Consider the following 25,721-nt stretch of genomic DNA (forward strand, 5'->3'; position numbering starts at 1 on the left):
AGGTCTCCTAGTCCTGGAGTCCACAAGCAGGTTAATGGGATGTAATGGAAACGCTATAGAGGGCAGACCCCTAGGCTTGTTCCCTCACAGCCTGATGCTTTTTTGTTTTTGAGACAGAGTCTCGCTCTGTTGCCCAGGCTGGAGTGCAGTGGCGTGATCTTGGCTCACTGCAACCTTGGCCTCCCAGGTTCAAGCGATTGTCCTGCCTCAGCTTCCCAAGTAGCTGAGATTACAGGCACCCACCACCACGCCTGGCTAAGTTTTGTATTTTTAGTAGAGACGGAGTTTCACCATGTTGGCCAGGCTAGTCTCGAACTCCCAACCTCAGGTAATCCACTTGCCTCGGCTTCCCAAAGTGCTGGGATTAAAGGCATGAGCCACCACGCCCAGCCTTTTGTTTTGTCTGCTTTTTTAGACAGGGTCTCACGCTGTCACCCTCACAGGCTGGAGTGCAGTGACTGCATCACGGACCACTGCAGCCTGGACCTCCCAGGCTCAAGCAATCCTCCCACCTCAACCTCTCCAGCAGCTGGGACTACAGGCGTATGCCACCACGCCCACCTAATTTTAAAATTATTTTGTAGAGACAGGGTCTCATTATGTTGCCCAGGCTGGCCTCGAACTCCTGGGCTCAAGCGATCCTCCCACCTTGGCCTCCCGAAGTGCTGGGCTTACAGGTGAGAGCCACCTCAGTGCCCGGCCTCAGCCTGATGGTTTCACGACTGCCTTTGACTTTGGCCCACACTAATCAAATGTATCACCGTGGGCCACTGACTCAACTTCCCCATCTATCCAGTGGGAATAGAATATTGGACTGCACAAAATCAACCACCTCATTTTAAAGAGCTATAACGAAACAAAATTTATATGTTATATATTTTTAAAAATACATCTTATAGATTAAAGGACTCAAGAAACAATAGCAAGACTGTAAAACGTTGCCACATCAGGTGACACTTTGGCCAGAGTTATGGAAAATGCTGACAAAACAAGAATTTGCCAGCATGGGCAAAGATATACTGTTACCAACCCAACTTGTTAAAATATTAATATTGAGCTAATTAGAAGTAGTTTTTTTTTTTTTGTTTTTTTTTTTTGAGACAGAGTCTCATTCTGTTGCCCAGGCAGGAGTGCAATGGTGTGACCTCAGGTCACTGCAACCTCTGCTGCCTGGGTTCAAGCGATTCTTGTGCCTCAGCCTCCTGGAATTACAGGCGCCTGCCACCACGCCCGGCTAATTTTTGAATTTTTGGTAGAGACTGGGTTTCTCCATGGCGGCCAGGCTGGTCTCGAACTCCTGACCTTAAGTGATCTGCCTGCCTCGACCTCCCAAAGTGCTGGGATTACAGGCGTGAGCCACTGTGCCCAGCCAGCAGTTCATAATATTTGTTTTTTATTCCTTGATTCTAACTCTGTAAGGAATAGAAATGGGGTGATTAATTTTGGCTCCTTTAATACCCGCCTGGCAGGTGCTGAGTCAGTGGTACCTGTTACCACGCTATGACTCAGAGGTTATCACTCAGGGACATCCTTCTGACTCTGTTTCAGTCCATGACTCAGGAGGAAAGGTTCTAGGGCCTCACCAGCGCCCTACACACACCCTCGTTTCCCGAGGGGCACCATTATATTCTTCCTTTATTGGCTGTCCTTGTATAATACAAATCTTCAAGTTTAGATACAAAAAAAATCTGGAAATAAAAGATAGAAAAGTACCCGCCAGGCACCCCTTCCCCTTCTTCCCGGACCCCTCCCCAGCGGGCACCGACATGAGGTAACTGCGCATCTTCTCCTCCTCCTCCCTCCCCGCCTCCTGGGCCCCCAACTTGGCCCTAGCCCCCATGAGACCTTGGCCCAAGGAAGACATGGGCCCCAAAGTTGGAGGGTGATGGAGGTGAGTACAGCATTGGCAGTGAACGCAGCGTGTGGGCAGAGGGCAGCCCTTAGCTTGTGCTGTGCATGGGGGGAGGAGACGACCAGATTTGGGGTGGGCACTGGTGTGGGGCCCAGGAGAGCCCCTAAGCAAGTGTCCCCCCTCCATCCTGTCCAACACTGGAAGGTGGGGGTCAACAGAAACTGGGAAATGGAGTGTGAACCAAGGGCATTCAGTGGGATTGTGGCCAACCCCTGTGTCTGGGGTTGGGGAAGGGGGCATTGCCAGCCTAAGTCCGGCAGTGAAATGGTTCCCTTAGCCAGGCTGGGTCCGTCCCTGAATTCCATCCTGTTGCAACCTGGGCGTCACAATGTTGGTTCTGTAGTGGTTGTCGGGGTGGTTGAGGGAGGGGGGTGTTGAGAGGGTGTTGAGGGGCGCAGCCCCAGGGAGCAGGGTTAGGGGAGAGGTTGTGCCTCCACCCCCAGGCGTGGGGCACCTGGAGATGATGGAGTGGGTGGGGCGGCTCGGGCTACAGTTCAATCTCGAATGTCTTTTGCAGGTCGCCAGAAAAGGGGTTGGAGGGTTTCTCTACAGTGGCTTTGCCTTCTAATGCCGCCCACTGGGCCTCAAAGGGGTCCAACTCTGGAGCTGGGGCAGGCGCTGGCTCAGGGGGCCAGGGGGCCCCATTGGGGCGAGGGCGGGCCTGGCTCCCAGGGGCACTGGGTATGGCAGGGGGCGGGAAGGCCCCAGCTTTCCCAAGCAGAGTGGCAGGCTGAGGCTGGAGCTGGGCGGCTGAGCAGAAGGCGTTTGCCACCATCTGTGAGGGTGTGATGCCCACCACGGGCACCCGGGGCATCGGTGGGTAGCCCAAGCCCGGGTAGGCGGGCACAAAAGGGGGCTGCATGTGTGGGGGTGGCAGGAACACGGCCACTTGGGCAGGTGCAGCGTCAAAGGGCCCCACGGGGGCGGGGAAAGGCTGCAGGGCAGGAGGCATGGTGGGCACTGGGGCCACTGAGGCTGCTTGCTGCTGTTGCTGCTGCTGCTGCTGCTGCTGTTGCTGTTGCTGCTGCTGCTGCTGCTGGGCCTTGGCCACCTGTGACACCTCCTCCAGCCATCGCTCAGCCTCTGAAGGTGTCCGCTTGTGCCCAGGCTGGAAGGCAGCTGCAGGGGGCACGGAGGGCTCACCCCAGGCAGAAGTCCCTGGAGAGAGGAGAGGGACAGGTGAGGGAGGGGGCAACGGCTTCAGCAGAAGAACCCCAGGCTGGGAACTGGCATGGTGTGGGGATCAGAGCACGGACTCTGGAGCCAGACCGCCTGCCTCTGAATCCCAGCTCTGCACCTCCCGAGCTTGCTGACTTCAGGCGAGTGACTTCACCATTCTGGACCACGTAATGGTTCTGGAGTGCTAAGAACATACAATTCTGAGCTTCTAAGGCCCTATGATGAGAAAGTCTAAGTAGGACTGACATCCTCCTAGCCCCACTACCCTTCTGACTGGTCAGTGCCAAGCCTAGGATTCACTATTTTGTTTTGTTTGTTGTCTGTTCGTTTTGAGAGTCTCACTCTGTTGCCCAGGGATGCCCTATCTGGGCTCACTGCAACCTCTGCCTCCCAGGTTCAAGCAATTCTCGTGCCTCAGTCTCCTGAGTAGCTGGGATTACAGGCGCGCACCATTACGCCCGGCTGATTTTTTGTATTTTTAGTAGAGGCGAGGTTTCAACATGTTGCCCAGGCTGGACTCGAACTCCTACCTCAAGTAATCCCCCTGCCTCGGCTTCCCAAAGTACTAGGATTACAGGCATGAGCCACCACACCCAGCTGGTATTCACTATTTTGAATATCACCCTTGATTTTCTAATACCTTCAGAATGTATTGTTTTAGGAGTTAAGATTCTAAGATTGCATGGATCTTTCTCCACATGTATAATAGTATCCTAACATAGTAAGGTTTGACAGTTTAGGGTTGGGCTTTCTAAGATTCTCGAGTTCTACATTTACAGTGTTTGAGATTCTAAGGTGCACCTGTGGTTCTAGGATAAGCCCATGGCTCTAAGATGATACATGGTTCTCAAGGATTCCATGGTTCTGAAACGATCTCTGGGCTCTAAGGTGATCCCAAGATTCTAGCATGAGCACATGCCTCTGAGGTGACCCCGTGGCTCTACAATGATCCCGTATCTCTAAGATAATTCATGGTTCTAAAGTGATCACTTGATTCTCAGGTAATCCCACGGCTCTAAGATGATCCTTGGTTCTAGGATGATCCTCTGGTTCTAAGATGATCTGTGTTTCTAAGGTGATCCTATGGCTCTAAGATGATCCATAGTTCTAGGATGATCCCATGGTTCTAAGGGGATCCCGTGGCTCTAAAATGATCAAGGGCTCTGAGATGATCCATGGCTCTAAGGTGATCACATGATTCTCAGATAATTCCATGGCTCTAAGATGATCCATGGTTCTAGGATAATCCCCTGGCTCTAAGATGATCCCTGGGTCTAAGGTGATCACATGATTCTTAGGTAATCCCATGGCTCTAAGATGAACCACGGATCTAGGATGATCCCCTGGCTCTAAGATGATCCATGGCTCTAAGATGATCACACGATTCTCAGATAATCCCATGGTTCTAGGCTGATCCCCTGGCTCTAAGATGATCCCTGCTTTTAAGGTGATTGCATGATTCTCAGGTAATCCCGTGGCTCTAAGATGATCCATGGATCTAGGATGATCCCCTGGCTCTAAGATGATCCATGGTTCTAAAGTAATCGCATGATTCTCAGGTAATCCCATGGCTCTAAGATGATCCATGGTTGTAGGATGATCCCCTGGCTCTGAGGTGATCCATGGTTCTAAGCCTGTAGGATCCCAAGACCCCTGGAGTGTCTGGGTAGCCCTGGATAGAGGAGGGGATACAGGAGGGACATGCAGGGTGTCTGCCCAGCAGAAAGCCTGGCTTTACCTGTTGTGGCAGGTGGTGGCCCTGGTGCTGGCGCTCCAGCACTGGCAAAAGATGAACTGATCTGTGTGCACAGAGCGTTGATGCTGTCACTGTCGCCGGCACCAGGAGGCTCCATCTCAGGCACTGGGAAGCAGGGCAGGACAGAGGTCAGCAAACAGGCCCAGACCCTGCCGCAGCCCCGCCCTCTACCCCCCGCCCTCGGTGGCCCTCTCTTCTGACCTGGATCCTTTCCCACTGTAGTAACTAAGTGGCCATGACCGCCAAATAACTGTGCATATGTGTGTGTCACATCTGAGCGGCAGAACGACTGAGTTAGTGTGTGACATTTGACGGCTGACAGTAACAGGGACCCCAAACCAAGGACCTCAAGATTTGTGTGTGGCCACAAACCAGAAGAGTTGTCTAAAACACTTAGCAACATATATTAGTTTAAAAATATGCCCAACCACGTGCATGGCAAGGACATGGGCCCAGTCTGAATGGGCTGTGGCATGGCCGCTCACTGGCTGGGGATCATTTGTCCAGCTTTGGGCAGAGAAGTGGGGTCCTGTCCACCCCACCCAGGCTGATCTATGGCAAACATCATGAGAGCAGAGATACACCTGTGCCAGCAAGGCAGGAGACACTGAGCAGGCATGGCGGCCCCGTGAGGGCTTGTGATGAGCAAAGGTACCATCCAAATAAACAATTAAGGACTCCCATGTGTGGTGTGTGACACATGTCTGTGATGTTTTAGCCAATGGCTGTCTCCAAGGGACCATGTAGATGCTCCAGTGAACATCAGAACTGGCCGTAGGAGTCTGCAGGTGTGCTGCGGGGGCGCCCGGGTGGGACAGCCAATGTCGACAATGATTGTGCATGTTCGTCCAAACAGGAATGCAGCTTCTGAGAGTGTGACTGGGGTCCGGGTGTGTGGCGTCCTGATGCGTGACTCCCAGGTGTGAGTGCATCTGCCGTGTGATGTATGAGTGTGTTTGCAGGTGTGCATGGATCTGCACATGTGGCTTTGGAGTTTGCATAAATCTGGGTGTGTGGTCTGTGAAGGTGTGTAAATCTGAGTGTGTTTCTTTTTTAAAAATATTTATTTATTTATTTTTGACACAGGGTCTCGCTCTGTTGCCCAGGCTGGAGTGTAGTGGCACAATCTTAGTTCACTGCAACCTCCGCCTCCCAGGCTCAAGCAATCTTCCTGAGTAGCTGGGACTACAGGTGCATGCCACTGCACCTGGTTAACAATAAAGGTTAATTTTTAAAATTTTTTTGTGGAGATGAGATCTTGCTGTGGTGCCCAGGCTGGTCTCAAACTCCTGAGCTCAAGTGATCCTCCTGCCTCAGCCTCCCAAAGTGCTGGGATTACAGGTGTGAGCCACCACGTCTGGCCATGTGTGACTTCTGACTCTGTGATTTTGGAGTGTGTGTGACTTGAGAGTATACCTGACTGTGAGTTTGTGACTTCTGAGCATGTGTGACATGTGTGTGGGGGGGTGCAATGTCTATGTGAGTATGTGAAATTTCTGTGTGGCAAGTCACATCCAAATAAGCGTGCAGCTGGCCACAGGAGTGTGAGGCTTCCAAATAAAGCCTGGAGCTCCTGCCACCTCTCAGGAGCACGTGTGACAGCCTGGGGAGTGTGCCTGATGTCAGGCTGCGTTAAGGACAGCAAATGTGAGGGTGTGTGATGGCCCAGGAATGCTGCAGGCATGGAGGGAGCGTGCGTCACTCTCAACAAGGGTTGGCATCTGCTCACCGGTTACCTTTTGGAGCAGCCCAGCCTCCTGGATACAGCTCAACACCCTCCCACATCAATCCCCGAGGACATAACGGGTAGGCGATGCAGATTTGGCATCCAGGAGCAAGAGAGTGGGCCAGACCACATGGGTTCACTGGCTGCTGGTGGGGAAGACAGCCCTTCTGCCTGCCTCCCTCAGGCAAAAACTCAGTAGCGTGCCACCTCTATCTTCCTTCCCTATGGCAGAGATTGCTCTTAATTTTTTTTTTTTTGAGACAGGTTCTCACTCTGTTGCCCAGGCTGGAGTGAAGTGGCGCAATCTTAGCTCACTGCAGCTGGGCTGAAGCAATTCTCCTTCCTCAGCCTCCTGAGTAGCTGAGACTACAGGCATGCGCCACCACACCAGGCTAGTTTTTGTATTTTTTTGTAGAGACAGGGTTTAGCCAAGTGATCTGCCTCAAGGGATCCTTGAGCCCCTCTTGGGCTCAAGTGATCTGCCTGCCTTGGCCTCCCAAAGTGCTGAGACCACAGGCATGAGCCACTGCACTTGGCTAGACATCACTTTTAGATCATGATGTACACCACCTGTCTCCTTTCCCTGGCCCATGGCAGACATTAGTAATCAAACACAATGCTTTTTTCCCCCACGGAGCTCTTTGCTCACCTTACCCGTCACCTGTCCAGACCTCATGGCTCCCCTGGCCAAGTGCTAGAAGAAACAGATCCTTGTAACTCCATCTTCCCTCCAAGTAAAACAGGACCTTTATATCTCCTCTCTCTTACCACCAGCCATGGCAGACAATGCCAATCAATTATGATGTGCTGCTCCTTTTCGTGATGGGTACTGCCTCTGCTCAACTCTGTGCCTACAACAAATGTTCCTGATCCATCACTATGCCCCTGACCCCTGGGATCTCTGAGCTCACTGGTGCCCTGCATGTCATGTTTCTACTGACCAAATTCTGGGAGTCTCCCCTTTGGGTAAAAACATAACACTCTTGCTACTCTTTCTTCTCCCTTGCCCATGACACACACTGCATGGAGATCATGACTGCTAACCGATCATGATGTGTGCCATCTTTCTCGTTTCCCTTAACCACAGCAGACATTGCTAATTGATCATGACTTGTGATGCCTTTTTTGCCATCCCTTGATGCTCCCTGCCCTAGGCAGACATTTCTAATCCATCACAATCCTCCTTTCCTCAGAGCCTGAGGAATACCTGTATCCTTCACCTAGCCAGATCTCATAGGTGAATGCTTGGAGGGAGGGAGCATTAACCTGTAGTGCTTCAGTCTACTCCTGAGCAAAAACAGGCCAATGGTGTTGCTTCTCTTCTTTCCCTGGCCCATGGCAAACTTCCTTATCCATGCCCGACTTCTTTGTCCATAGCCGACTTTGCTAACTAATCATGATGTGTGTCATCTTTCTCCTTTTCCTTAACCACACCAGACATTGCTAACTGATCATAACTTGTGATGCCTTTCTACTATCCCTTACTCAGAGCAGACACGGCTTATCAATCCTGATTTGTGCTATCTCTTTCCTCTCCCTTGCCCACTGCTAATCGATCATGACATGTTCCCACTCTCTCTCCTTTGCCCATGGCAGACAGTGCAAATCAATCACAGTGTGAACCATCTCGCCTCCATCCCTTGCCCACATCAGATAGTGCCAATTGATTCCAACGCCGTTTCCCACTGGGCCCAGGGCTCACCTGTGCCCTTCACCTGGAAGTCAGTGCGGCGCTGCAGCGTGGATGGCAGCTCATTCAGCCGTAGGCTCAGCTGCCGTTTGAAAGGCGAGTTCTTCTGGCTGAGTGCTGGGAACCCACGGAAGGAGCCCTGGCGAACCAGCTGCTCCAGGGGTGCATGGCGCCGGGGGATGGCGGCCGCAGTGGTGCCTGCAGCCACAGGGGTGCCTGCCTCACCCTTCTCACCAGGGGATGTGGTGGCTGGTGTCGGGGACACGTGCCCAGGCTGGGCAGGGCCAGGAGCCACAGTGGGGGCAGCTGCTGCCTCTGCTGGAGACATGGGGGAGATGGATGGTTAGATATCTCACCATGGCATGCAAGGCCTCTCCCACCTGGTTCTCTTGATCATTCTCCAAGGCTGCCTTCCTTGCCCAGTGAGTCCTGCCCTTAAGACAAGCTAGTCAAAGCCCTGAGATATCCCTCACCCCCACCCAAGTCATGATCCCCTTCCCCAGGAGGCTCTTGGAAAACCGTCCCCCAGGCTCACCCTCTGTGTCTCTCCAGCTTCCTGCCCCTTTCTGTCTTGCCCTGCTGCTCTCACCATTCTTCCCTCTAAGACCCTCTATCTCCCTTTTTGATCACTTAACAAACACTGATTTGGTGCTGGAACAACGTATCAGGCATTGTTCCAGATGCTTTTCAAGTATTCACTCATTCAATCCACACGACTACCCATGGGGTTGATATGATTCTCATTTTACAGATGTGGAAACTGAGACCCAGCAAAGGCCCAGTGTGATGTGCCCAAGTCCTACTGCTAGGAAGGGGCAGGCTGACTCTGGACCCCATGCTCCAAATGACTGCCCGCCCTGTCTCCCTCTGACCTGTCTCTCCATATCATGTTGTCTTTCTCTGTCACTGTCTGTTCCCCTCTGTCTCCCACCTCCCAGCCTTCTTCCCACCTCAAGTAGCTCCTCCCTTCCTCCAGTCATTCTAGACATGGCTTGGATGCTTCATCCTCTGAGAAGCTTTCCAGATTGTTCCAGGCTCTCAGCCTGGCTCCCTCCACTCTGAGACTGTTCTCTGTACTCTGGGAGGAAACCTGACCTCCCCACTCAGCAGGAGAGGCAGGCTCTTCAAGGGCAGGGCTGCCCTCACCCCTGCCAAACCACAAACACACATCTACCCTCCTACCAGGGCCTCCCCGAGCTGCAGCCTGAATGCCATGGAGATTAAACTCAGGCCCAGAGAGACCCTCCCATAAGGATGTCGCCCAGTGCTGCTTCTCCCATCGTGACACAATGGGGCACCCATGCAGGCCTGGCCCAAGGCAGTGGAAACAGCCCAGGACAGGTTGGAACCAGGAAACCTCCTCTGCCTCCACTCACTGTGTGACCTCAGGAAGTCCCCTCCCCTCTCTGGGCTCCAGTTTGCCAACTAGAAACCTGGGATAAACATCTCAGTGCTACCTCCCAAGCCTCTGAGAGGGTCAGTTTAGGTAGTGAATGTTAAATGTTTTGGAATCCAACAAAAGCATGCCTGGACACAGTGGTTCACGCCTGTAATCCCAGCACTTTGAGAGGCCAAGGTGGGGGGATCAGTTGAAGCCAGGAGTTCAAGACCAGCCTTGCCAACATGGTGAAACACCATCTCTACTAAAAATACAAAAAAAGATTAGCTGGGTGTGGTGGCACACGCCTGGGATTCCAGCTACTCTGGAGGCTGAGGCAGGAGAATCGCTTGAACCCGGGAGGCAGAGGTTGCAGTGAGCCGAGATCGCACCATTGCACTCCAGCCTGGGCAACAGAGCAAGACTCTGTCTCAAAAAAAAAAAAAAAAAAAAAAAAAAAACTTAGCTGGACGTGGTGGCGGGCACCTGTAATCCCAGCTACTCAGGAGGCTGAGGCACATAAATGTCTTGAAACCAGGAGGCAGAGGTTGCAGTGAGCTGAGATGGCACTACTGCATTCCAGCCTGGGTGACGGAGAGAGACTCTGTCTCAAAAAAAAGATGTTCTTTTTTTTCCCCTTACAATCCAGGATCTAATTCAGGATCACATCTCGCATCTATTAATACCTGTTAAACCTCATTAGTCTCCCTTAATCAGGATCAGTTCCCAATGGTAAATTCTTTGTAAATTCTAAGTAGTGTTTTCCCAAAGAACTTAAATTCACAGTAAAATAAATAAATAAATTAATTAATTAATAAATAAATTAATTATATGGTGACTCAGGACATACATACAATTATATTTTAAACACACACACACACACACACACACACACACACACACACAGAGTTTTAGAACTTACAAAGTATTTAACCATTTACCTAGAAAGTTAGTTTTACCAAGTATGTTTCAAACTTTCTTGATGGCAATCCAGAGTTAAGAGATATCTTTTATATGGTAGCCTCTTACACACGCGTGCACACACACACACACTCTCTCTCTCAAATAAAAGTATCATTAAATTATATTTAACCCTTATGCCATTCAATATACTCTGATATTTTCTATGATTCTCTATTTCATTGTTTTTAAATTAATTTTTTTTTTTTTGAGACAGGGTCTCACTCTGTCTGTCACCCAGGTTGGAGTGTGGTGGTGCAATCGCAGCTCTCTGCAGCCTCTACCTCCTGGGCCCAGGTGATCCTCCTGCCTCAGCCTCCTGAGGAGCTGGGACCACAGGTTGCACCACCACGCCTGGCTAATTTTTTAATGATTTGTAGAGACAGGGTTTCCCTATGTTGCCCAGGTTGATTTCATTTTTTTAAATGTCAGCCACATGGGCTGGGCCCAGTTGTCCACACCTATAATACCAGTGCTTTGGGAGGCTGAGGTGGGAGGATCGTTTGAGGCCAGGAGTTTGAGACCAGCCTGGGAAACACAGCAAGATCCCAGTTCTACAAAATATAAAAATAAAATTAGCCAGATGCTGTGGCTTGTGCCTATATTCCCAGCTACATGGAGGCTGAGGCAGGAGGATTACTTGAGCCCAGCAGTTTGAGGCTGCAGGGAGCTGTGATCGCACCACTGCACTCCAGCCTGGGCAACAGAATTAGACCTCAACTCAGACAACAAAACAAAACAAAAAATGCCAGCCACAGTACAGCAAATTGGCTTCCCAGGTCTTAATACACAGGTTGAAAAGCCCTGAGAAGGCCAGGCGCGGTGGCTCACCTGAGGTCAGGAGTTGAGGCCAACATGGTGAAACCCCATCTCTACTAAAAATACAAAAATTAGCCATGCCTGTAATCCTAACTACTCGGGAGGCTGAGGCAGAATTGCTTGAACCCGGGAGGTGGAGGTTGCAGTGAGCCTAGATCACACCATTGCACTCCAGCCTGGTTGACAGAGCGAGACTCCGTCTCAAAAAAAAAAAAAAACAAACAAAAAAAGAAAAGCCTCGAAAAGCCCCGAATTGGTGGATAGTAAACCACTTGGTGCGCCCTTAGAATATTGCCCAGAGAACTCTTTCCATGGAAGTTGCTTTATTTATTTATTTATTTTTTGAGACAGAGTCTCACTCTATTGCCCAGGCTGGAGTGCAGTGGCGTGATCTCGGCTCACTGCAACCTCTGCCTCCAGGGTTCCAGCGATCCTCCTGCCTCAGCCTCCCAAGTAGTTGGGATTACAGGCGTAGGCCACCATGCCCAGTTAATTTTTGTATTTTAGTAGAGACGAGGTTTTACCATGTCGCGCAGGCTGGTCTCAAACTTCTGACCTCAAGCGATCCGCCCATCTCGGCCTCTCAAAGTGCTGGGATTACAGGTGTGAACCATGGCGCTTGGCCTGAAGCATCCCCTACTTTGTAAACTGTTGAGTCTCTGCACCTCTGCAGCTCCCTGCCCCCTGATACTGGGTACCCTGTGCCCACTCTGTGCTCTGCTGGCGCTTGGGGCAACACCCACCTTTCTTCTTGTCCGGGGCCTCTCGCTCAGCAGGCCGCCCACCCCCAGACAGGCGGAAGGAGCCCTCGCGGGCGAAGCTGGTGCGGCTGGCATCGAAGGCGGCCGTGACCCCACATTCCTTCTCCCGTCGCTGTTTTCGCTCCAGGCAGGCGGCAAAAGCACAGCCCACAGCGTGGCTCAGCCTCTCGCCCTATGGGGAGAGGATGGGCGGGGGGGTTAGAGGCGCTGGGCAGTGCGGACAGGGGCCAGGGGCACTGGGTTATAGCCGCTAGGTACTGGGTTGCCCCGGATGAGTCTCTGCACTTCTCTGGGCCTCAGTGCTCATCTGCACCACAAGGAAGGGCTGGAAATGACAGCTCCAAGTGAGAGAAGCCAGAAACCAATGAGCCTGTTGTGTGGCTCCACTTACTGGAAATTCCAGAAGAGGCAAAACTAATCTATGGTTCTATGGTGAAAAAAAGTCAGAACAGGCCAGGAGTGGTGGCTCTCGCCTGTAATCCTAGCACTTTGGGAGGCTGAGGCGGGAGGTTCCCTTGAGCCCAGGAGGTCAAGGCTGCAAGCAGCTATGATGGGGCAACTGCACTCCAGCTTGGGTGACAGAGTGAGATTCTGTCTAAAAAAAAGTCAGAATAGTGGTAGTTTCCTATGGGGTGGGGAATGACTGGAAAGTGTATGAGGGGATGACCGGGTGGTGGCAATGTTCTAGATATTGATAGGGGTTTCGTTACATGGGTGTATGCAGTTGTCGAAATTCGTTGACTGTACACCAAAGGCTTGTGCATTGCTATAGACTAAACGTGTGTGTCTCTCTCAGTTCTAACGCTGAAGCCCTCATCCACAATGTGCTGGTATTTGGAGGTGGGCCTTTGAGAGACAATAAAAGTTATGTTAGATCATGAGGTGGGGTCCTCATGATGGAATTAATGCCCTTATTTATTTATTTTTTTTCTGGGACAGGGTCTTACTCTGATGCTATGCTGGAGTGCAGCGGCATGACCTCAGCTCACTGCAACCTCCACCTCCCGGCTTCAAGCGATTCTCCTGCCTCAGCCTCTCAAGTAGCTGGGATTATAGGCATGCGCCACCACACCTGGTTAATTTGTGTATTTTTAGTAGAGATGGGATTTCATGATGTTGGTGAGGCTGGACTCGAACTCCTGACCTCGAGTGATCTGCCCACCTGGGCCTCCCAAAGTGTTGGGGTTACAGGCGTGAGCCACCATGCCCGGCCGGGATTAATGCCCTTAAAAAGGAAAAAGAGACAAGAGATCTCCCCTCCACCTTGAGAGGTGAAGATACAGAAAGCAGGCATCCATCTGCAAACCAGGAAAAGAGCCCTCACCAAGAAATGAGCCATTTGACACCCTGACCTCAGGTATCCAGCCTCTAGAACTGCGGCAAACAAATGTTTGTCATTTAAGCCACACAGTCTACACTATCTGGTTATAGCAGCCTGAACTAAGACAATCATATCTTTCGCTTTGAAGAAAAAAAAAATCTGGAAACAAATACGAATTCTACTTAATGGTGTGCATGCTGAAGTAGTCCAATGCCTACAAATTTGACATACAAAAAGAATCAGACGGTGTGACTGCAGTCGCTCACACCTGTAATCCCAGGAGGCCGAGGCAGGCAAATCACTTGAGGCCAGGAGTTCGAGACCAGCCTGGCCAACATGGTGAAACCCCATCTCTACTAAAAATACAAAAATCTGCCAGGTGTGGTGGCGTGCACCTGTAATCCCAGCTACTAGGGAGGCTGTGGCAGGAGAATCACTTGAAGGTTGGAGGCGGAGGTTTCAGTGAGCCAAGATCGTGCCACTGTACTCCAGCCTGGGGCAACAGAGCGAGACTCCGTCTCAAAAAAAGGAATGAACCACTGATACAAGCAGCTCACGCCTGTAATCCGAGCACTTTGGGAGGCCAAGGTGACTGGATCGCTTGAGTCCAGGAGTTCGAGACCAGCCTGGGCAACATGGCGAAATCCCATCTCTACAAAAAATTAGCCAGGCATGGTGGCGTGTGCCTGTAGTCCTAGCTACTCAGGAAGCTGAGGTGGGAGAATCGCTTGAACCCAGGTTGCAGTGAGGCGAGATTGCACCACTGCACACCAGCCTTGATGACAGAGAGAGACGCTGTGTCATTAAATAAATTAATTAAAAACATTGCCGGGCAGGGTGGCTCACACCTATAATCCCAGCACTTTGGGAGGCAGAGGCAGGCGGATCACCTGAGGTCGGGAGTTCAAGACCAACCTGACCTGCATGGAGAAACCCCATCTCTACTAAAAATATAAAATTAGCCAGCTGTGATGGTGCATGTCTGTAATCCCAGCTACTTGGGAGACTGAGACAGGAGAATTGCTTGAACCCGGGAGGCAGAGGTTGCAGTGAGCTGAGATTGCTCCATTGCACTCCAGCCTGGGTAACAAGAGCGAAACTCTGTTTCAAAAACAAACAAAAACACAACATTACACTAAGTAAAGAAGCCAGACACATATTATATGATTCCATTAAATGAAATATCCAGAATAGGTAAATCCACAGAGAGACAAAGCAGATTAGTGGTTGCCAGGGGGCTGGGGTAGTGGGGAGACGGGGTGAATTGATGAATGGAGATGGGGTCTCCTTTAGCGGTGATGAAAATGTTTCAGGACTGCTAAAGTCAATGGTTAAACAACACTGAAAATGTATTAAATGCCATTGAATTGTACACTTTTAAATGATTAATTTTATGTGAATTTCACCTCAAGAAAAAAAAAAAGTTGAACTTGGGGAATTCTACTGCTTAATGGTTAAAACTTCCTTCAGAAGTAGGAAGGAATTCATCCAACATCACATTCTTTACCCACAGGAGATGGTCCTGCTCTTTTCTGGCTTTCATTCTCATCCCCAAATAGTTTTTTTTTTTTGTTTTCTTGAGACAGAGTCTCGCTCTGTCACCCAGGCTGGAGTGCAGTGGTGCAGTCTTGGCTCACTGCAACCTCCGTCTCCAGGGTTCATGTGATTCTCCCCACATGTGATTCTCCTACCTCAGCCTCTGGAGTAGCTGGGATCACAGGCGCCTGCCACCATGCCTGTCTACTTTTTTTGTATTTTTAGTAGAGATGGGGTTTTACCAGGTTGGCCAGGCTGGTCTCAAATTCCTGACCTCAGGTGATCTGCCTGCCTTGGCCTCCCAAAGTGTTGGGATTACAGGCGTGAGCCACCACGCCTGGCCAATACTCTTTTTTTTTTGAGATGGAGTCTCACTCTGTCTCCCAGGCTGGAGTGCAGTGGTGCAATTTTGGCTCACTGCAACCTCCACCTCCCGGGCTCAAGTGATTCTCCTGCCTCAGCCTCCCAAGTAGCTGGGACTACAGGTGTGCACCACCACACCTAGCTAATTTTTTGTATTTCAGTAGAGATGGGGTTTTACCATGTTGTCCAGGGTGGTCTTGAACTCCTGAGCTCAGGCAATCCCCCCGCCCCAGCATCCCAAAGTGCTGGGATTACAGGTGTGAGCCACTGCACCCGGCCCTCACGTGAATACTCTAAATTGGGAACCGTGAGTATACTTTCTTCTCCAGATGAGGAAACTGGGCACACAGAGGTTAGTGATGTGCCTGAATGCAGGAAGCTTGTAGGGGTGGGGCTGGGATGCCAGGGCATGGGAGGGAAGAGTTGGCCAGCTGTGGCAATACTCACGGAGTCCTTCAGTGCCAGAAAACAGTGGCAGATCCAGCGGCGGGTAGTCCCGTCACGACAGATATAGGAGAAAGCCTTGTCCAGGTTGCGGTCAGGAGCACAAAAGGAGACCTTTTCGATGGTCTGGTCGACCAGAAGATCCTAGGAGGGGCCGGGGAGGCCAGGAGAAGAGTGTGAACTCTCTTTCAAGTGTTCACTCAACATTCTCTCTGTGTCTGCTGAAATCCAGTCCTGAACAGGGTGGGGACCCAGCAGTCACTGAGACACCCTGTGCCTTGCCTGCAGAGGGCTCCCAGGTCAGCGGGAAGATCAGACCCATCACGAGATGGGCAGCCCAGAGTCATAGCCAGGATGTGATGAAGGAGGCCCAGGCAGAGGGGTCAGGGCCAGGACCATGGAGGCACAGGCAGAGGGGTCAGGGCCAGCATGGCAGAAGCCAGCTTGGGGTCAGTCAGGCAAGGCTTCCTGGAGCAGGTACTAACTAAGAAAAAAAGTCAAGGAACAGTATTTTGGGCTGAGGGAACTGCCTTGCAAAGGTGGTGATCTTGTTCTGTTATTAACCCAACTCTCAGCATGTCCTGGGCACCTCCTAGGGCAGTCTCTGGGCTGGGGGCAGCAGATTCAAGGTGAGCAAACAGATACCTAGATTGTGGCCTCATAGTGCTTCCTTCTGACTGGGCAGGGTGACAATAAACACTTAATGGCTAACATTCATTGATCTGAGCAGTTACGATGTACTAGACCCCATTTAAATATATATATATATTTTTTTCCCAGAAGGAGTCTTGCTCTGTCACCCAGGCTAGAGTGCAGTGGCATGATCTTGGCTTACTGAAACCTCTGCCTCCTGGGTTCAAGTGATTCTCCTACCTAAGCCTCCCAAGTAGCTGGGATTACAGGCACGCACCACCACGTCTGGCTAATTTTTGTATTTTTAGTAGAGGTGGGGTTTCACCATCTTGGCCAGGCTAGTCTCGAACTCGTGACCTCAGGTGATCCAACTGCCCTGGCCTCCCAAAGTGCTGGGATTACAGGCGTGAGCCACCGTGCCCAGCCCACATTTAAATTTTTTTAAAAATTATTTTGTATAGATGGAGCCTTGCTATGTTTCACAGGCTGATCTTGAACTCCTGGCTTCAAGGGGCCCTCCCAGCCAGGCACCATTTCAAATAACTTGCATATGCTTTCTCACTTAATGGTAGGGTCTATTATAATCCCTGTTTTTCTGCGATGGAGTTTAGCTCTTGTTGCCCAGGCTGGAGTGCAATGGCATGATCTCCGCTCACCGCAACCTCCAAGTCTCGGGTTCAAGAGATTCTCCTGCCTCAGCCTCCCAAGTAGCTAGGATTACAGGTACACACCACCATGTCCAGCTAATTTTTGTATTTTTAGTGAGATGAGGTTTCACCATATTGCCAGGCTGGTCTCGAACTCCTGACCTCAGGTAATCTACCCTCCTTGGCCTCCCAAAGTACTGGGATTACAGGCGTGAGCCACCACTCCCGGCCTATAATCTGCATTTTTCAGATGACACAACTGAGACTCAGAGAGGTTAAATCTCATGCCCAGGGTCCCTAAGCTGGGATCGGAGCTGAGGCAGCTGCTCCAGTCTCTCTCACCCACAGCCTATGCCAGTTCCCAAATAATCACAGCATTTATTCCTGAGTTATGACGACAGAGGGAGCACACGGCATCGTCTAGAAGGTCCCTGAGGGAGGGATGTGCAGAGGAGGCGGGAAGGTGTCCTCCGCCCTGATTCCAGCAGGGTGAGCAGACAGGCCCCCTGGCGTCCACCCCCACAGGCCTCCTACCTTGGTTTTGTCGTCCACCACTCGGAGCCCATCGGCTGACACCCACAGGACAGACTTCACGGACTTTCGGCCCATCTGGAGGGAGGCAAGGGGACAAAGGAGCCGGGTCAGGGTGCCTCTCCCTGTCTGACCTTGCCCCCTCCCTCATGGCAGCCCCCTCACTCACCGCCTTCAGCTTCTTCACCGCATCTTCACACACGTGCATTCCCCGGGACTCCTCTACCTCCACGTGACCCAGGTACTTGGGTTGGAGGGAATGGGGGGGGGGACATGAAACAGCACAGTAATCACTCATTCTCAGTGTCCACTGAGCATCTGCCATGCAGTAGACAATATTTTAAGCACATGATGTGTATGCAATCATTTATTCTGCATCTCAACTCTACAAGGTGGAGACCCCATTCCTGGTCTAGACATGCAGATGGGGAAACTGAAGCACAGCACGTAGTAGTGATTCCAGTCTAGCTATACCCCTGGGCCCTAACCCGGCACCGTGGTCCTCCCGAGAGCTAGTATTTGCATCTCTGTGCGTGAGGACTGGCCACAGGCCATGCAAAGCTGCTTTGCCTACCCTAAAGCAGCTAGAAAGAGCCTGGGCCAGTCCCCACAATGACTGAAGGGAGTTAGGGTACCTGAGCCCCAGCTCCCTCATCTGCAGGTGGGATGACTGTTGCCTCGAGTTTCCCAGGGGAAAGCTCAGTTGCACACTGCTGCAGTTTTAATAACACACCCTTTACTGGCTGCCTTACTTTCCTCACTCCCAACACCATTTCCTGCACCTCCCAAATGAAGCCGTCACATTCAAAGTCTGCTTCCAGGGAAGGGAACGTAAGGTGGTGGAGGGGCTGTGACCATGGTCAGTCATCACCCAGCCAGGAAGGGGCTGAGCTCCACAGTCCACGCCGTGAATCCTGCTCTCCCCCTCACAGGAATGTAAAAGCGTAGGGTATGGCTAAACCAGAACGTCCTTATCGGTAGAGCGCTTTGCAAATGCTACACCACATGACGGCTTCCAGGTAATAGTTTGCTGGTACAAAAAAATGTGTTCTGGTTTTTTGTTTGTTTTCAAGATTGGGTATCACTCTGTTGCCTAGGCTGGAGTGCAATGGCACAATTAAGGCTCACTGCAGCCTCGACCTTCCTGGACTCGAGTGAGCCTCCCACCTCAGCCTTGTGAGTAGCTGGGACTACAGGTGCGTGCCACTGTGCCTATTTTTTGTAGAGACAGGGTCTCCCTGTGTTTGCCCAGGCTGGTCTTGAACTCCTTGACTCAAGCAATCCTCCCACCACAGCCTCCCAGTGTGCTGGAATTACAGGTGTTAGCCACCACTACGCTTCAAGTTTTTTTTTTTTTTTTTTTGAAACAGAGTCTGCTCTGTCGCCCAGGCTGGAGTGCAATGGCGCTATCTCGGCTCACTGCAATCTCCGCCTCCCGGGTTCAAGCGATTCTCCTGTCTCAGCCTCCCCAGTAGCTGGGACTACAGGCGCCCGCCACCACGCGAGGCTAATTTGTTGTATTTCTAGTAGAGCCGGGGTTTCACCGTGATAGCCAGGACTGCCGGCCTCACGCTTTTTAACACCAACTTCAAACGACTTGGGCTGGTGTCCCAGCCAGGCCGCGCACCCGCACAGCACAGCACAGCGGCCCCCGTCCCCCTCGCCCCGCCGCACCCTGCCGCGCCCACTCACCCTGACCGGGAAGCTGCACGTGCCCTTCCGCACCGCGTCCTCGTCTGCCTGCCACTGGTGCGGGCGCGACGCCTCGGGCACGTAGGCTGGCTTCCTCCGCCGCAGGCTCTGCCGTAACTTGTTCATGGTGCCCGCCCCGTCTGGTGACACAGGACAGTGATGTGGGTCAAGGGTGGGGGTCAGAAGGTATGGAGCTCAACGGGGAGGGACCAGTGCTCAGGGAGCATGGGGTCAGATAACAAGATAACTGGAAGCGGGGTTACAGGGTCAGTTGGCAGCGCACATGGGATCAGCAGCTCAAGTCAGGGGACAGTGAGGAAAGGAGCCAACAGAAGCCAGGGGAGTGCGAAAGTTGGGCACTGGGGATTCAGAACCATGGGGCTAAGGGGCTGGAGGTCTGGGGTGGGGGGTATGGGGCACAGGCTTCAGGGCATTGGAGGGCTTCTTGTCCATGTGGTGGATGCTTCCTCATTCCCAGGGCCGTGAGGACACAAAGGGTGGGAAATCAGACGTAGGAGGGCATGGGGGCTAGAGGGCATAGAAGTCAGGGGCCGCACGGTCAGGGGTTTTAGGGGTATGAGAGTCAGGCAGTGGGGTGATCAGAGGGCAGCAGAGGAGTTGGGAATTGCATGGGTCAGGGGTGCAGGAGTCAGGTGCATGGGGTATGGGGGATGGTGGCTTGTCTCTGGAACTCTGAGACACAGCCATTCTGTGACAACTGTGTCTAGTCCCCAGGCAAGGCTTCTGGGGCCTTGCACTGATGACTGTCAGAGGCAGGGCTGTGGGTGTGTGGAGTGGGTGTGGAGGTGGCCAGCCACTAGGACAGTCTTCACTGATCAGCCATCCTGACAGTCCCAGGACTGGGAGCACCAACAGCAGAGGGGGATGTGTGTGTGTGTGTGTGTGTAAGCAAGTGTGCAATGGTATGTTCTGGAACGCTGTCTATGAGGGGCTCTATATCTGAGCAGGCAAGTAATGTCTGTGAGTGTGTTTCTGAAGGCTGTCTGGAAGAACGCATGTCTGAGAATGGTGTAGGATAGTGTGCATCTGTGAATGCTGTCCGTGAGGGATGCATCCAAAAGTGTGGTTGTTGTCTGTGAGTCTGAGGCCCTGAAGGTTGTTGCTGAAGGGCATCGATGTCTGAGAGTGGTTGTGAGTGTGTGTCTGCTGTCTATATCCGAGAGTGCCGTTGTTGTCTATGAGAACTTGTGGCTCAGTGCCTGTTGCCTGTGAGGGTGTGTCTGTGTTTGAGATGAGGCTGTCGTCTTTCAAAGGGTGTGTCCATGGCTGTTATCCATGTAGCTATGTCTCTGTGTGAAGGTGTGGCTATTGTCTGTGATGACATTGCCTCGGAGAGTGCATCTGAGGGATCTACAAGACTGTCTGTGTCCAAGAGTGCAGCTGTTGGCGGTGAGCCTGTGTGACTGTGGCTGTTGCCTTAGAGTGTGGGTGTGTGGGTATTGCACAGAGGGTGTATCTGTGTGCAGTGGTGCATCCGTTAGGGTGTGTGGGAACATGAGGTTGTCTTTGAGAGTGTTTTCATGAGGGTTATTTGTAAGGGTGTGACTGTTGCCTGAGAGAGTGCTGGGTGTTCTTTGTGAGACTGTGTGCATGTTTGTACACAACCGTAGCTCCCTGTGAGAGCCTGGGCCCGCGGGTGCTGTCTGTGAAAGTGTGGCTGTCGTCTGTAGAAATGTGGGTCTGTGTGTGTTGTCAGACTGTGCAAGAGTGTGTCTCTTTTTTTTTTTTTTGAGACGAAATTTTGCTCTTGTTGCGAATGAAGGCTGGAGTGCAATGGCATGATCTCAGCTCACAGCAACCTCTGCCTCCCAGGTTCAAGCGATTCTCCTGCCTCAGCCTCCCAAGTAGCTGGGATTACAGGCATGTGCCACCACCCCTGGCTAATTTTGTATTTTTAGTACAGACAGAGTTTCTCCATGTTGGTCAGGCTGGTCTCGAACTCCTGACCTCCTGACCTCAGGTGATCCTCCCGCCTCAGCCTCCCAAAGTGCTGGGATTATAGGCATTGAGCCACCACGCCCGGCCAAGAGTGTGTCTCTTGAGAGTGTGTATCTCAGAGTCTGTATCCAGCGAGCGTCTGTGGTCACCTGTGAATCTGGGTGTTGTCTAGGAATGTGTGTGTGTGTATATATGTGTGTACATTAGTGTGATGAACATCTACTTCAGCATGTGTTCAAGTGTGTCACTGCATTAGCAAGTGTGTGTGATCTGAAAGAGATCTGTGTGTGTGTGTGTGTCTCTAACCGTATATCTACAGATGTGAGTGTTTGTGACTCTGCACTTGAGGCTGTAAGGGTGTCAGGGTGTGGGTCTGTGCATGAGTGGGGCTCTGACAGTCGCTGAGGAAGATGCCTGAGGGTGTCCACTCATGAGTGTGATTAAGCCTGTGTGACCGCAGGGACAGCTCCTCTGGTCGTGTTAGGCAAGACCACATACCCATTCAGCCCTGCCCTGTCCCAGGCTGGTCGCTCACCTGGCTCCGTCCTGCAGGTTTCTGGGGGCCCCGGGGCCCCACAGGGGGCTGGGGGCAGGTGCCGCTCAGGCCTCCGGGGTCCGCCCTGCCCGAGTAGGGGAGGAGAAGGTGAGAAGTTTGTCTGGGTTGGGGCTCAGTCTGATACTTCACCCCGACTTTGGACTTCGGCCAGCCCCCTCCATCTTGGGCTCCCTGATGAGAGTCCTAGTTGTCCTAGCAACTGTTACCAGGGAGATCAGCCACCTGGTTCCAAGGGCCCAGGAAGGAGTAGGTATGTTTGGGGGGCATATGTTGGGGATGTGCTGGCCTCAGGAGAGCCTCACTGCCCAAGGGGATGCTGTGAGAGTGGCCTTGCCCTCCAGATGCATGTGCAGGGCTACACACATACGCAGCCAACTCATATCTACAGGTGTCCCTAGCATCTGGCCACAGCTTTACACACTTGGTTACACATAGACGCAATCACAGCTACACACCTCAGATCGCAGATACACAGAAACAGTCCCAAACCCAGAAAGCTGCCACTGTAAACATCTGGCCGCATATTCATGTTCGGACACACACAGTCTCTACTACAGACATTTGTCCACATACATGCAGCATGTCCTGGCCCACTCAGTTCCCACCGCAGACACCTGGTCACACCACCCACTGAAATTTGGTCACTTCCACATTCTCAGCCACATACAAAGAACGGGGCCCAGACAACCCACTAGAGCCGCACATGCGTGGCCACACCCAGTGACAGCTATGTTTCCTCAGGCACCCGCCCAAGATACTGACGTCACAGGCCCACCCAGATAGAATCACACCCAGAGTTCACCCATTTGCTGACCCAGTCCCACACGACACAATCGCAGCTATATACACTTGTTACACGTATCTCCACTGCTGCACACTGACATCTGGTCACAGATGCACACGGACAGACACACATTTGGTCCCACGGAGACCACATGCAGCCTCAACCAGACCAGTCACACCAACACACTGTTTTTGGCCACACACTGTCACGTGGTCACACATACTCAGTCATAGGTGCTCAAATCTGGTCACAGCATCAGTCACACAGTCTATTGTGACAGCCACACTCATAGGGACAGTCCTCTATACACAACCACATACAGAGGTACTGATGGCCACAGCATGCAACCACCCACAAACAACTGTCCCCAAGGATGGCCTCCCTCAAGACACAGCCATGGTGGTCCTATAGGCATGGCCACAGCATCAATGTCCATGTGACCCAGCCACCTATCATGGTCATAATCCCGTCACCCAGTGTCCATACACAGCTGTACCATGTCACTCCAATGCAGCGAAACATATAGCCTTTCTTCATGCAGGCACACAAGTCACACAGACAAGTATGTGGCCATATAGAATCACAGCCCCGTGTGGACAGGTGCACAAAGTCACAAGCCCCACCTACACACATATCTCACACATAGAGACATAAGCACACAGTTTTAGTTTCCCATGTCACAAGTACACAGTCCAGTGTATGCACATAAATGCAGTGACCAGGATGTGGCATTTATAGCTGGGTTTACACAGAAGACACAGGTCCTGACGGAGCCATGTGCACAGTCAGGGGCCAATCTCATCACCAAATCACACATTCTAACACAGGTAGTCCAGCACATACACACAGAGACAAAAACAGGCACACAGCTACAGACCCCACACTCTCACAGATGATGACATAGACACAGACATCTATAGTCACCCAGGGTCAGACATGCAGGTCAAACACAATAATATGGAAGCCATAATCATATACACACCCCTACAAACATAATTTCCTGGCACCAGCACGGAGACACATCCACAGCTTTAGTCACACACAAATAATCCCTCTAAATAGCCAGGGTTTCAGACACCAAGTCAAATACATAACCCAAATCACACATGCAAGGCTAGAAATACACACAATCACTCGTTATCACACACACTGCTAGATACAGTCATTTATATTAATACAACCTCAGTCACACACTCAGACATGGTTCTGCATACGCAACCACTGTCATACACAATACTGTCACACAACCCCAGTCACACAGATACAATGTGACTTCAGACACAATGGCAGTCACACAGGCAGAGTTGCACAGACAGGTGTGTGTCACTCACGTATATAAAATCAGGTAGAGACACAACTATAAACATTGTCAGTCACTGGGAGGGTCACACATGCACATGGAGCCATAGACAACTCCACTCACACACAGTCACAACTCCACCCACGTCCTGTCAGTCACACGCATGCCCACCCCCAGACTCAACACATACTGTCACATACCCAGTTATAGTTACCGAGGCATACAAACACAGGGTCACAAAAGACACAATCACAGACAACCACAGTCACAACCATGCACACCTCCAAACACAGACAGACTAAAAAGTACAGGATTCTGCACAGTGAGCAGCTGTCACACACACATACACAGTCACACAGATACTAGGGTCACAGACACAATCATAGACACCACCACAAGCACACACACACGACACAGGATTCCTCAGTCACCAGCTGCAGCGTACGCGTGCACACACACACACACATACACAGCCACAGTCACACAAACACAGGGCACACTCCTAGCCACCTCCCCATCGCTTGCTTCCCCCCTTCCCCCCAGGTACCACACACAAAGCCGCCGTCACCGTCACCGCAGACACTGCAGACAGACAGGGCTGCACCCGGTCCCTGGGGAGCCGCCCCCAGCCCAGCCTGTATCCTGGAGCCTGAGGGCCAGGTCCAGGAGGGGGAAGCGGTGCATTGTCTGCGGGTGGGGCCACTCTTGGACAGCTGGGCAGCCCTGGGGACAAAGGGGGTGGCCTAGGGATCCTGTGCCCTGGGACCCATGACCAAGCCAGGGGGTGGAGGGATTGGGGGTTGCCTGAAATTGTCCTTATTTTATTCAGGCTGGGGTGGGGTGGAGTCCCAGGCACAGGGACCTTGTTTTGAGAAGTGGCTGTGCCTGGGACTCCGCCCAAGGATTGGGGGGATGCTGTGCCCAGGGTGCCTCTGAGACCTGGGGGCAGGCTGTGCTTGGAGTCCCCCTAGGCCTTGGCGTGGTGGGAACGCTGTACCCAGTGACCCCATCCTCGAGACCGTACCTAGGCAGTTGTTGTGCTGAGACCCCCTTAGGCAGGGAGAGGTAGGGATTGTGTCTGGAATCGCGTCCTGGAGGCCTTGGTTTGATACGGGGGCTGTGTCCCCGACCCCATCTCCATCCCCATCTAGTTCTAGGAGTTGTACCTAGAATCTCTGTACCCCTGTCCTTGGTTTTGTGGGGGGTCTGTGTCCAGGATCCCTATTTCCAGGGCCTTGGCAAGAGATGGCCCAGGGGTCTGTGCCCAAGACCCCGGTCTCCTGGGCTTTGGCTTGTTGGGCCTGTTCCTGGACCCCCACCCGGGACCACCCTCTCCAGCCTTGGCACCCTCTCTCCATCCGGGCGCCGCGGCCGCCTCCCACCCTCCGCCACATCAGCAGCGGCGCCGCCCCCGACCCGAGCCCCCCTCTCCCGCCCTTCTCACGCTGGCCGCCGCGCTGCGGGACATCCAGGGCCCGGGCGCCCCCGCCTCCCGCGGCCCTGGCTGGGCCTGGCTCCCCGACTGCTGCTGCTGCGGTGGTGGCGGCGGCAGCTCGGTCTGACGCCGGCCAGGGCCCGGGGCCGGGGGATGGTGCGGGATGCACGCGCGCGAGCCTCCTCGGCTCCCGGGAGGATTCCGTTCCGGGGGCGGGGGAGCGTCCCTCGGCCTCGGCTCCCCGCCCCGACCCCGCCCATTGGCCCGCCGCCTGCCGTATATGCAGAAAGGTCCCGCCCCGCCCCGCCCCTTGGCCTGAAGACCCCGCCCACACGCAGA

At 52.5% G+C, this 25,721-nt stretch overlaps 1 protein-coding gene across 3 annotated transcripts, besides 4 other annotated features; it reads right to left on the bottom strand.

The window, feature by feature from the left end:
* Positions 1-836: 836 nt before the first annotated feature.
* On the bottom strand, positions 837-25,583 carry NUMBL (NUMB like endocytic adaptor protein). Of its 3 annotated transcripts, NM_004756.5 has the most exons (10): positions 25,392-25,583; positions 21,843-21,927; positions 19,349-19,488; positions 17,826-17,900; positions 17,660-17,734; positions 15,849-15,989; positions 12,164-12,353; positions 8,276-8,581; positions 4,830-4,952; positions 837-3,070 (listed from the first exon to the last, which is right to left on the bottom strand). In NM_004756.5, exons 1-10 carry the CDS (start codon positions 25,413-25,415, stop codon positions 2,400-2,402), a joined length of 1,830 nt encoding a protein of 609 aa, NP_004747.1. In that variant the 5' UTR covers positions 25,416-25,583; the 3' UTR covers positions 837-2,399. The 3 variants fall into 3 exon arrangements, with proteins under 3 accessions (NP_004747.1, NP_001276908.1, NP_001276909.1); NM_001289979.2 differs by lacking the exon at positions 21,843-21,927; NM_001289980.2 differs by lacking the exons at positions 21,843-21,927; positions 25,392-25,583 and adding an exon at positions 24,972-25,096.
* Positions 22,456-22,750: an enhancer, noted in NCBI's record as "tiled region #4590; K562 Activating DNase matched - State 5:Enh, and HepG2 Activating non-DNase unmatched - State 23:Low". NCBI's record gives its function as "activates a minimal TATA promoter and a strong SV40 promoter by Sharpr-MPRA in K562 cells, with weaker activation in HepG2 cells {active_cell/tissue: HepG2 | K562}" and the evidence as "EXISTENCE:reporter gene assay evidence [ECO:0000049][PMID:27701403]".
* Positions 23,874-24,813: an enhancer, noted in NCBI's record as "H3K4me1 hESC enhancer chr19:41194847-41195786 (GRCh37/hg19 assembly coordinates)". NCBI's record gives its function as "activates a minimal SCP1, AML or CMV promoter by ChIP-STARR-seq in naive H9 embryonic stem cells {active_cell/tissue: H9 hESC(naive)}" and the evidence as "EXISTENCE:reporter gene assay evidence [ECO:0000049][PMID:30033119]".
* Positions 24,487-24,536: an enhancer, noted in NCBI's record as "active region_14662". NCBI's record gives its function as "activates an Ori minimal core promoter by ATAC-STARR-seq in GM12878 lymphoblastoid cells {active_cell/tissue: GM12878}" and the evidence as "EXISTENCE:reporter gene assay evidence [ECO:0000049][PMID:35858748]".
* Positions 25,376-25,715: a silencer, noted in NCBI's record as "silent region_10642". NCBI's record gives its function as "represses an Ori minimal core promoter by ATAC-STARR-seq in GM12878 lymphoblastoid cells {active_cell/tissue: GM12878}" and the evidence as "EXISTENCE:reporter gene assay evidence [ECO:0000049][PMID:35858748]".

The sequence above is a fragment of the Homo sapiens genome, chromosome 19, assembly GCF_000001405.40.
Source record: "Homo sapiens chromosome 19, GRCh38.p14 Primary Assembly".
NCBI lineage: Eukaryota > Metazoa > Chordata > Mammalia > Primates > Hominidae > Homo > Homo sapiens.